Below are 12,097 nucleotides of genomic sequence, written 5' to 3' on the forward strand. Positions count from 1 at the left end.
GTTTAGGCCTCTGTTAAAAAGTGAGATGTGAGAAGGACTTGAAGAAGGTGAGCCAAGGAAATATCTGGAAGGAATGTGTTCCAAGAAGGGCGAACAGCTACAATAAAGGCCTAAGATATGCCTGCTGTGCTTGAGGAACAGCAAGGGGGCCAGTGTAACTTGAAGTGGGAGGCACAGAAACAATGTTGGGTCAGGGTGCAGGTCCGCCAGGCCCTACAGGTCATCACAGGGAATTGCTTCACACTCAAGGAAATTGGGGACCGTAGGAAGTTCTGCGCAAGTGGAAGGTGGGAGCTGCCATTGGCAGGAACTGGGAGAGTTGAGGGTGAGAGTGAGGCATGTTTGGGGTAGGAACAGGAGCAATCAGGATTTCAGGTTGGACATGTTGAGTCTGAGCATCTGTGAAACATTCAGATAGAGAGGTTAAGTGGGCAGTTGGGCCTATGAGTAGGAGCTCGGGAGAGGTGGACAGGTTCGAGTTTTCGGCAGATTTTATAGAGATGATGTTTAAGGCCACAGAGTGGGATGACCTCACTAAGGGAGAGTGGAGAAGGAGAAAAGAAAAGGAAAAAGGCCAGAACCCTGGGCACTCCAACTGTTATGGGCTGGGGAGAAGAGAGACGAGGAAGAGCCAGCAAAACAAGCTGATGCGTGACCGGGGACACAGGAGGAAAACCAAGAGAGTGTTGTCCAGGAAGTCAACGCAGCACAGGAAGGCAGAGGGCTGCCATGATGAACATACAGGAATGCAAGTGCAGGTCTGAACAGGGCTTGGACATATGAACAACTCAGCAAGTGATAGCTATTTTTTTTTTTTTTTTTTTGAGACAGTGTCTTGCTCTGTCACCCAAGCTGGAGTGCAGTGGTACAATCATGATTCACTGCAGTCTTTACCTCCTGGGCTCAAGCAATCCTCCTGTTTCAGCCTCCCAAGTAGCTGAGACCACAGGCATGTGCCAATACAACCAGCTAATTTTTTAATTTTTTTGTAGTTGTACAAAAAAATTAAATTTTTAAATTTTTTTTTGCTGCCCAGGCTGGTCTCAATCCTCCCACTTTGGCCTCCCAAAGTGCTGGGATTACAGGTGTGAGCCACTGTGCCCAGCCATCATTGTTATTTGAATTACTGTACGAGTAGTGTTACGTGAGCACTGCGTGAGCGGAGGAAGGTGGAAGGCCTGGCAGAGAAACGAGCTCTTTGCTAATCAGATTATCATGGCTAAGAATCTACAGTCAACCAGAGTCTGATGGAGGGGCATCTTTGCTTAGCTACTCGCAGATTAAAGCAATTCTGCCCTGAGGAAAAGGTCCCAGGTTTAGAGACAGGGCCTTTCTGCTCCTTCCGGCCCCCTGCATTCCCCACGGTGGGGAATCTGCAGGCAGGACACTGTTCTGCTGGTGCTCGGTATTGTCCCCCGGCTTGAGCTGTCAGATGATTCCCTGGACCCCTTTTGACCTCTGCCTTTGACCTGGGGATCAGGTGATGTGTGACTGGAGGCAGGTCTGCGCATCCTCTGAGGTGACAGCTCACTTGAGCTCCCCCTTGTCTCTGCCTGTCACCAGGAGAAAACACCCCCTGTTGGGTTTTCTAAACACGCATCAGCTTGGGCGGTGACCCAGCCATAGACACTGAGGAGCGGCTGAAGCAAGGTGTGGCGAAGGTTCCAGCAGAGCCTGGGGAAGGGCCCCCAGAAAGTCAGATTCTCCCCAAGGCCATCTCTGGAGCTTGGCTTGAGTGTGGTTGTCTGCCAGGCTCTGGGGGCCTTGCAGTGGTGACTCATGGGCCATTTTTGGAGCCCAGACAACTGGAGAGATCATCAGACGGTTTGCTGGCTGTCTCATGAGGCTGCACGTGTAGCTCTGCCATCCGTCCGTGTGTCCTCGGCAGCTTGCACATGCCCGTAAGTGCTCAATGTGGGACGCCCATGAAGCCCGGAATGCACGACCCTCTCACTGCCACCCGATCCTTAACCCTCCCAGGCAAGATCTCCAGCAGGGATGGCACTCTCCCATCTCAGCTCTTGTTCCTAGATGTATTCACTTGCTATAGGATTCTGTGCTTTTACTGAGATGCTCCTTGAAGCAAGGGAGCTTCACAGTTAAGGGTCTGTGTTTTTAACATGCGTTGGAGGTGATTCTCATGTGCAGCCGATCTGGGACCTTCAAGTATACCCAGACCTTCCTGCCTGGGGAAGTGCTGACTGGCAGTACCAGTGATTGTTCTGTAGGCTAAATGAGTCCCCAGGTGGGACAGGGAGCGAGATGGGGTGAAAAAGTGCCAGAAAACTCCTCTGTCCCCAAAGATGCCCTCATCTAACCTGCCAATCCCACCTTCAATCCCACCATGGGGGATCACTCAAGCCTGTGGGGCTGAGTGCTGTCCTCTCTAGAACCTCTTAGAAATGCAGCTCTCGGCCGGGCGTGGTGGCTCACATCTGTAATCCCAGCACTTTGGGAGGCTGAGGTGGGCGGATCACGAAGTCAAGAGATCAAGACCGGCTGGGCACAGTGGCTCATGCCTGTAATCCCAGCACTTTGGGAGGCCAAGGCGGGTGGATCACGAGGTCAGGAGATCGAGACCATCCTGGCTAACACAGTGAAACCCCGTCTCTACTAAAAATACAAAAAAAAAAAAAAAATTAGCCGGGTGTGTTGGCAGGCGCCTGTGGTCCCAGCTGCTCGTAGTCCCAGCTACTTGGGAGGCTGAGGCAGGAGAATGGCATGAACCCAGGAGGCGGAGCTTGCAGTAAGCTGAGATAGCACCACTGCACTCCAGCCTGGGTTGACAGAGCCAGACTCCGTGTCAAAAAAAAAAAAAAAAAAAAAAAGAGATCAAGACCATCCTGGCCAACATGGTGAAACCCCGTCTCTACTAAAAATACAAAAATTATCTGGGTGTGGTGGTACACACCTGTAGTCCCAGCTACTTGGGAGCCTGAGGCAGGAGAATCACTTGAACCTGGAAGGCAGAGGTTGCAGTGAGCCAAGATGGTGCCACTGCACTGCACTCCAGCCTGGTCTGGGGACCGAGCTAGACTCCGTCTCAAAAAAAAAAAAAAAAATGCAGCTCTCTCATGAGAGTCCATTCTTCAGCCCCAAGGATAGAGGCTGCAAAAACTGCCCACGTCATCTGGCCCAGGACACATCCTGCCTGTGGGGTGGGCTGACCTCATACCTGCCACATACTGGGAGCCCAGAGTCCTCCCACTCCAGCCCAGCCCAGTCCAGGGCCACCAGCTCTTAGGTTCTGAAGTAGCCCTTTGAGAGGGTGAGGGTGACATGCCATGTCTCTCTGTTCCCATCCTCCTGCCAGTCTTCTCTCCACCCTAGCATTTCAGGCAAAGGAACAGAAAGCCAGTCTGTGCCCCCACCTGACACTCTCTCCAGGAAGTGTCAGGGAGTGGGCTCTGCTGCCTGGCCCCTCACGCCAGGCTTCAGGATGAAAGGAAACTCCAGAATGACAATTTGGGATTATCTAGTGCCCTGGGCCAGATAGTCTCCTGTGAGGATTAGTGGCATCTTTGAAAAGCAGCGGCCACTCCTTTACACAATACCTCCTCTTCAGGGGATCTCCTCCCACTCTCCCATACAGGGAGCTCTGAATCTGCAGAGGACAGCTTATCTTGGAACACCTTTGGGATGGGAAACTGATCACCTTTCAAGGAAGCCCAGTCCATCTGCATCTGTGCTAGAAAGTTCTTCCTTCTACCGACTCAGAAGCAGTCTCCCTGCTGTTTCCTCCTTGCATCACGGAGCAAAGCCTGCTGCTTTTTCCAGGAGCAGTGGGGGCACGAAATGTCCTATTGTTTACGTACCCAAAGAGTGCTTGCTCTAAGCTCCTTCTCCACGAGAACTCTGCAGCTGCCGCTGACCACAGGATGCTCGTTTGGACAATGAAGCCCCTTTCTAATGGGAGGATACTTTCAGGATTGTTGCCCCTAGTGAGCTTCCTACTCCTCCCCTTCCGGTTGCCCCCGGTGTGCCCTCAGGCTCCTGGCAACTCCACTGCTTCACTCAGCCATCACTCCAACTAGCTTTCTATATCTCCATGCCCCTGTGTTCAGTCCTAAGTGGAGCTACTGGATATTTGAGCCTCTCACTCAGCAAGCCTTGGAGCTCCTTCCCTTAAGCCCTACTAGCACCCTTCCCCCATGCATGTAGGTCCCGGGGCCCAGCCACCACTGCAGGCATGGAGGAAGGGGGTGGGCAGTGCACAGGTATCCATGGCAAAGGGCCAGCGGGCTGTATCTGTGGAAACAGAATCTGTAGCCTCCCTCACTGATCCTCTCTGAATCCCCAGCGCTGGAGGGTGTAATTTTTTATTGTGAAATATATATTACAAAAAATTTGACATCTATCTTAGTCCATTTTCTGCTGCCATATCAGAATACTTGAGCCTGGGTGATAAAGAAAAGTAGTATATTTGGCTCACTCACCGTTCTGGTAGCTGGAAAGTCCAAGATCAGGTCTCTGATGAACCAGGGTGACACCAACCAGGAAGCCTGGTATTTTGCAAGAGACAGTGTCTTAACCCAAAGCAATGCATCTATAACCGGGGAATGTCAGGCACCGGTAATGGACAAAAGAGAGATTTGGGGTGAAGGGTCCTCAAATCATACCTCTTGGCAGTTACCTATTTTGATAGACTCAGAAGCCCCAGATTAGGGAAGGTGAAAGTCATTTACTCTAGTACCTCTTCCAGTCCCAAATCCTCTTGAGCTCACCCAGCCTCTGCCTGATCACCTCCAGTGACTGAGAACTCGTCACTTCCAAACCAGCCCAGCCATCTCTGGACTCACCTCTGAAGAGTTCTTTCTTCCTGACTCAAAGTCTGTTCCTATAGCGCCCTCTATGGGTCCCTTATCTACCCCTGGGGCTTCCTCAGGATGAATCCCATCCCATTCCTAGAAGTAGTGAGGTACCCCTTGAATTAAAGACCAGCATTCAGTCACTCTGAGGCATTCTGTTTTCGTGTAACATCCTGAGCTTTGGAAACTCTTCGTTCTAGAACCCCATTTTGGTCTAAGGTGTCCCTTGCCTAGACCTGACCACAGAATCTCAGTCCAGCCACAGCCACAGGGGCCTGTTTTGCCGGAGGTGGCTTGGTCCTTCTCCTCTCCTAGTCCCAGTGCTGAGAAGGGTGTGGAGGAGGAAGGGAGAAACACCAGACTCTGCTGAGTGCCGGCAGTTGTGGAGTTATGTTCTGTGCTAGGCTTTTGCTATGGTCTCAATGTTTGTGACCTCCCAAGTTTCTTTTTCTTTTTCTTTCTCTTTCTTTCTTTCTTTCTTTTTTTTTTTTTTTTTTTTTTTGAGACGGAGACTTGCTCTGTCACCCAGGCTGGAGTGCAGTGGTGCGATCTTGGCTCACTGTAACCTCTGCCTCCCAGTTCAAACGATTCTCCTGCCTCAGCCTCCTGAGTAGCTGGGACTACAGGTGCGTGCCACCACACCTAGCTATTTTTTTGTATTTTTAGTAGAGATAGGGTTTCACCATGTTGGCCAGCCTGTACTTGAACTCCTGACGTCAGGTGATCCACCCACCTTGGCCTCCCAAAGTGCTGGGATTACAGGCTTGAGCCTCGGTGCCCGGCTGACCTTCCCAATTTCATCTGTTGAAACCTAATCACCAGTGTGATTGTACTAAGAAGTGGGGCCTCTGGGAGGTGATTAGGTCACAAGGACAGAACCCTCATAAATGGGATTAGTGCTTTTATAAAAGAGACCCCAGAGAGATCTCCTGCCCTTTCCACCATGTGATGAACCAGAAAGGGATCCTTCACAAGACGTCGAATCTGCCAGTGCCTTGATCTTGGACTTGCCAGTTTCAGGTCCCTGAGAAATAAATTTCTGTTGTTCGTAAGGTTGGCATTTTGTTATAGCAGCCTGAGGGGACTAAGATAACTTTTTGCATGTATTATCCCATTTAAGCGATTAGTCCCACTTTACAGGTGAGGAAACTGAGGCTGAAAGAAGTTAAGATTCTAGGACTCTTGACAAAAGTTTTGTGTAAACAAGAGTCGCTACAAAATCACTTTTCTAATAGCAGCAGCAGCAGCAGCAGCAGCAGCAGCTTCCTATTTGCTCAAACTGGGAGGTAAAAGCAGAGGGAGAAGATGGTCTTTATATTTAGAGTTACCTAAGGGACTTCCTGAGCTGGGAGGGGGTGAGCGGGATTCCAGTGCTTCAGAGAGGAGCTGCTGGGCTGTGGGCAAGACCCTGGCTGGTGTGGAACTATGCAGCCCCCAGCCCTGGCTAAGCCCCGCCTCTCAGGCCCTGGAGGCAGAAAGCTCCTCAGCCTGGCCCCTCCGGGATTCTGGATCCAGCTGTCCTGGTTGCTGCCTAACTTTCAGCCGTGTGTCCAGCATATCTGTGAACTGATCTGGGGCCAGAGCTCAGGGAAAAACAGAGGTAAGTTGTGGTGGGGACCTCCCCAACCCCTACGCACACACACGCACACACATGCGCAGCAAGACTCCTCCCTGGAGGTGGAAGTAGCGGTGATGTCAGGCTCCCGGACTTGTGTATTCAACCCGGTGAGTTAACAGGAGAAAGAGCAGAAGCCGGGGGCGGGAGGATGTTGAGGCTCCTCTCTGTTCCCGCCTCTCTACCCCTTCTCCAGTCCCCTTCAGTAGTGGGTCAGGATCCTGGCCTAGACATGGAATTCCCTAATCAAGTAGAAAGAGGGGTCTAAATAAGCGGAATTGGGGTGGGAGGAGCCGGGCCAGTTCTGGTGGGGGAGAGGCCGCCTCCTGCTCCCTCGGCTGCCTCCTCAGCCTCCCTGCTTGTTGGCGGCTCACACACCCTTGGCCAGGTGAGGCGGGCGTGGGCCTGCAGCCTGGGCCTGCTCAGCTGTGGACCTTGATTGTTTCTTACTAGATGACCTGTTTCTCACCACTGGAGCTACTGAAGCTCACAACCAATTTGGGAGGGGACAGGCATAGTGACTGTTTGGCCCATGGTGGCTCGTGGTGCTGTGGTCATTAGCCGGGAGTAAACGGAGTCTGTCCCACCTGGCCCACGAGGGCACCATGTCAGGGTTTGGGCACATAGTGGTATGTGATAATGAGCTTTGTTACACATTCCCTTGGTACTTCAGTTTTCCTATCTGTAAAATGAAGGCAACAATATCCACCTTATGGGTTTGTTATGAAGATTAAACAACAAATCAAGACACGAAGCAACTGCCTGGCACTTAGTAAGTGCTCAGTCAATGCAGGTTACTATTGTAGTTATCATCATCATTATGACAAAGATTATGGTTATTATTCTTGCTTGTCCTTTGGGCACATACTTCCCTCAAGAATGCATTGGAAGCTGGGTGCGGTGGCTCACGCCTGTAATCCTAGCACTTTGGGAGGCTGAGGCAGGCAGATCTCCTGAGGTCAGGAGTTTGAGACCAGCCTGGCCAACATGGCAAAACTCCATCTCTGCTAAAAATACAAAACTAATTAGCCAGGTGTGGTGGCACATACCTGTAGTCCCAGCCACATGGGAGGCTGAGGCAGGAGAATTGCTTGAACCCAGGAGGTGGAGGTTGCAGTGAGCTGAGATAGCGCTGCTGAACTCCAGCCTGGGTGACAGAGTGAGACTCCGTCTCAAAAAAAAAAAAAAAAGAATGCATTGGGTTCATTGGGTTCAGACGCTCTTGGGCTGTGGTCTTCCAGCTGTAGCCTCCCATTTCTATGACCTAGCATGTCTACATTCACACTGACTATTTTTTTCCTCATCCTTTGTGGGAAACCTGCTTCTCCTCCTGAATGCCCCAGTTTGGTGAATGGCACACTATCCCTTAATGCATGGCGTCCCTTCCGTATCCTTCCCTTCCCTCAGCCCGCTGTGCTCAGCCAGTGTGCAAATCACATCTGGGCCCAGCTACCCCACTCCAGGAGGAGTTGGTCACTCACTCACCTGCACCTGGAGTGCTTTTCCATAAGGCCAGAGTAGTGCTTGTCACATATGCTGTCATTTTTGTTTTTAAGCCTATCTTCCCTGTACAGAATGCCTAAGGGTTACGTCTTCTGTTTCTTTTATGAGGCAGGTATCAAGGATGGCTGGATAGGAAAGAGGGTGCAGGGAAGCATTGTGAACCTTGGGTCTAGTGACATCGCTATCATTCTCTCTAAACTTTAATGACCCCTCTTTGCGGTGATTAAACTGAATCTGCTCTCGCTCCTTCTAGACACTCAGGAAAATGAAGCAACCATTTCCTCCCTCCACCAGGATATGTTGATCCTAAGCCCAGAAAGGTTAGGCGACTTGCCTAAGGACACAGAGCAAATAAAAGGATTAACACATCTGAATGCAAGACATTGAGGAGTTGACACTGCCAGTTCCTCCCACTTCTTAAACAAAGCATCAGTGTGCTTCCCTGGCACCATCCACAAAGGGTGGGTGGGTTGAGAAGCGGGAAGATGTAGAAGTATGGGGGTTGCACTCAAAGCCATAGGTTTGGGGGACTTGTCTCAACACACACAGGAGAGGGGAAGGACAAAGTCAAAACAAGTTCCAGACTTTTTCTGGCAAAGAAATATGCCAGAAAGATTTGAACTGTTCTAGGGAAGGCTTGCTGGAAGAAACCATCTCTCTTCTCTGACTAGGCACCCACTCCTCTGTTCAGGCAACAGCCAGTAGCAATCTTTAAGGAAGACATAATCAGGCCCTCTTTTGCATAGCTGGAGATACTGAGTGAGCTATTTTCAGATGCCCAGTTCTGGGAGAGTTAGGAGATTTAGGTGTAAGCAAGATTGGGATGAGTTGGAAAAGGAGGGAGGAGAAGTGTGGCCAGGCCAAAATGACAGAGATTGACAGGGAAGTAGAGAGACAGTGCTGGTATGGGGCCACTGGAGCAGAGGAAGGTGTAAGAGTGATGGCCACTGGCATTTACTAAGCATCCACTGGGCACCACAGCCACGCCAGGGGGATGGTAAACTCATTTTACGGAGGTAGAGACTAAGGTTAGGGGAGGTTGAGTAAATCACCTGGAATTACAATGGCAGAATCAGCATTGGAACTCAAATCTCTGACTCCAGATCCCAGGCTCTTTCCTTTGTTCATATAAAGGAGAACTTTGGGGTTGGGTCTAGGGACCACAGGGCCAGGGTTTGTTTGCCTGAAGGGGTAGAGAAGGATTTCATGACAGGGGCCATCTCTCCCAACTCTGTCCTCCAGACACACACACACACACACACACACACACACACACACACACACACACACCACACACATGCCCATTCCTTCAACTGGCTGGAAAGTGCAGGATTTGGAGTTAGAGATCAGGTTCATCTCTGAATTATTGAGTGGATAGCCTTTCTATCTCTGCACTTCATAAAATCATGACCACTGTCAGGCCAGGCGCAGTGGCTCATGCCTGTAATCTCAGCACCGTGGGAGGCTGAGGCAAGTGGATCACTTCAGCCCAGGAGTTTGGTACCAGCATGGGCAACATAGCGAAACCCTAACTTTACAAAAAATACAGAAATTGGCCTGGTATGGTGGCATGCGCCTGTAGTCCTAGCTACTCTGGGGGCTGCGGTGGGAGGATCGCTTGAGCACAGGAGGTCAAGGCTGCAGTGAGATGTGACAGCACCACTTCACTCTAGTCCGGGTGACAGAGTGATGCCTTGTTTCACAAAACAAACAAACAAACAAACAAAAAATCGGATCTCCCAGAGAATATATGATACACCTAAGTCTTTAATAACCATATGGTTCCTGATAGAAGTTCATAATATTTAAAATATTAATGCTATATAGTTGCTATTGCCACTGCTCACGCCATGTTGAGAATTGAGGGGCGTTTTTTTTTTTTTTTTTTTTTCCCCTTGAGACAGAGTCTCACTCTGGCCCAGGCTGGAGCGCAATGGTGCGATCTTAGCTCACGGCAACCTCTGCCTCCTGGGTTCAAGCAATTCTCCTGCCTCAGCCTCCTGAGTAGCTGGGATTACAGGCACCTGCCACCACACCCGGCTTTTTTTTTTTTTTTTTAGACGGAGTTTTGTTCTCGTTGCCCAGGCTGGAGTGCAATGGTGTGATCTTGGCTCACTGCAACCTCTGCCTCCTGGGTTCAAGTGTTTCTCCTGCCTCAGCCTCCCTCCGGAGTAGCTGGGATTACAGGTGCTCACCACCACACCCAGCTAATTTTTTGTATTTTTAGTAGAGATGGGGTTTCACTGTGTTGGCCAGGCTGATCTCGAACTCCTGACCTCAGGTGATGCACTCGCCTCAGCCTCCCAAAGTGCTGGGTTTATAGTCGTGAGCCACCATGCCCTGCCCTAATTTTTGTATTTTTAGTAGAGACGGGCTTCACCATGTCAGTCAGACTGGTCTCGAACTCTTGACCTCAGGTGATCCACCCCGCTCAGCCTCTCAAAGTGCTGGGATTACAGGCATGAGCCGCCGCGCCTGGCCGAGGGATAGTGTTTTAAGAGGCCTGACCTAACCTCTTGTGAAGAGCACAGGGAAGACCAAGTGGACTTTTCTTGGTCTCCATTCATCACTGAGGTAAAACAACCTGGCCATCTCATCCATCCCCCTGCCTCTCAGCTACCTCCCTGTCGCTCCTCTCCTCATTTATCCAAGCATTATCACTTCTTTTAAACTTTTCCTTGAAGGAAGTTCTGAGTTATTCTTGAGGATTAATTTCATACCTTTAGAGCAAGATTCTTACACTTTTTTGTGTGCCATAGCCCCTCCTCCCTTCCCCCCTCCTCCCTTCCCCCCTCCTCCCTTCCCCCCTCCTCCCTTCCCCCCTCCTCCCTTCCCCCCTCCTCCCTTCCCCCCTCCTCCCCGGGCAGTCTGAATAACACTTTCAAACGCACAAAAGATAATACATAGGACATCAAAGGAAACCAATCATTTTGAAATACAGTTATCACAATATTTTTAAAGCAGTGATATAGTAATATGTGCTTCTCCATTAATGGATTAAAGAATAAAATCTACTGGCAGGACTAGTAACCACTGGAGTTTTAAAACACGGATAAGCATAGATGATATTTGCAGAAACCTGCCACTACTGTAATGGGATTGGAAAATATCTGTTATCACTGCTGTTATCACTACTGTGGTCTGTTACCTACATTCATCATTTTTTAAAAAGCTAAATTTCAGTTGGAAGTTAGTGAAGATAAAGACGTAAGCCTTTTCCCAACCAAAGTCATGGACCCCTTTGAATTCTACCTATTAATCTCTTGGTGAAGGGAAGGGGGTGTCTGTGGACTCCAAGTTAAAAGGATTTGTTTTAGAACAGTGTTTCTCGCAGTGTGGTTCCAGCACCAGCGATATTAGCATTATCTGGGAAACTATCAGAAATGTAAATTCTTGTCCCCACCCCAGCAGATTTACTGAATCAGAAACTCTGGGGTGGGGCCCAGCAATCTGTGCTTGAATAAGCCTCCAGGTGAGTCTGCTATGAGCTCAAGTTTGAGAACCACTGCCTTAGAGTTGGGTAGGATACAATCTCCGAAGCAGAATGCATGGCCAAGATGACTCCTTCCCCTCAAAGTCTTAGAGAATGATCTATTGCCTATTTTCCTGCTCCACTTCCTTCAGACTAACTCTGAATCTGGGGTAGACTGTGGTTTGGAGTTTAAAAACCCGAGATCCTTGTTAATGCGTAATGAAGTGCTACAAAGCAGCTTCTGTCACAAGGGTGGTATAAAATACAGCTGCAGGGACAGCGGTTAAAGTTTCACTCTTTTATGGACATAAAAAATAATTGGCCTTCTAATTATCTCCATAAAAGTGAGAAAACTTGCCTGGCTTATTGGCATCTTTATTAGCACTAGGAAATAATTAGACATCCTTAATAGCTTTCTAATGATCCCTAGAGGAGGGAGCCATTTTTAGGGCATCTGCTGCCATGATTGGGTCATTATGGAGCCCTTCAGACCTGGTCTACACAGAGTGGAGTGCTTGCACATTCATCAGTGCCCGGTACTGGCTTTGGATCTCTGATGGCTCACGTGCCAGGAAAGGCGTATCTCTCATGGGCCCATGACTCTTTCCGGAGCCTTGGCAGCATCTGTCCCTGGTCTGGGAAGAGGACCCTCACTATGGTGGACTGACAAGGGGGGCTGATTATTTATGGATAGGTGAA

At 49.8% G+C, this 12,097-nt stretch overlaps 3 annotated features.

Annotated features, from left to right (window-relative positions):
• Nucleotides 2,926-3,793: an enhancer, noted in NCBI's record as "NANOG-H3K27ac-H3K4me1 hESC enhancer chr2:45199471-45200338 (GRCh37/hg19 assembly coordinates)". NCBI's record gives its function as "activates a minimal SCP1, AML or CMV promoter by ChIP-STARR-seq in naive H9 embryonic stem cells {active_cell/tissue: H9 hESC(naive)}" and the evidence as "EXISTENCE:reporter gene assay evidence [ECO:0000049][PMID:30033119]".
• Nucleotides 5,746-6,521: an enhancer, noted in NCBI's record as "H3K4me1 hESC enhancer chr2:45202291-45203066 (GRCh37/hg19 assembly coordinates)". NCBI's record gives its function as "activates a minimal SCP1, AML or CMV promoter by ChIP-STARR-seq in naive H9 embryonic stem cells {active_cell/tissue: H9 hESC(naive)}" and the evidence as "EXISTENCE:reporter gene assay evidence [ECO:0000049][PMID:30033119]".
• Nucleotides 6,522-7,297: an enhancer, noted in NCBI's record as "H3K4me1 hESC enhancer chr2:45203067-45203842 (GRCh37/hg19 assembly coordinates)". NCBI's record gives its function as "activates a minimal SCP1, AML or CMV promoter by ChIP-STARR-seq in naive H9 embryonic stem cells {active_cell/tissue: H9 hESC(naive)}" and the evidence as "EXISTENCE:reporter gene assay evidence [ECO:0000049][PMID:30033119]".

The sequence above is a fragment of the Homo sapiens genome, chromosome 2 (assembly GCF_000001405.40).
Source record: "Homo sapiens chromosome 2, GRCh38.p14 Primary Assembly".
Lineage (NCBI taxonomy): Eukaryota > Metazoa > Chordata > Mammalia > Primates > Hominidae > Homo > Homo sapiens.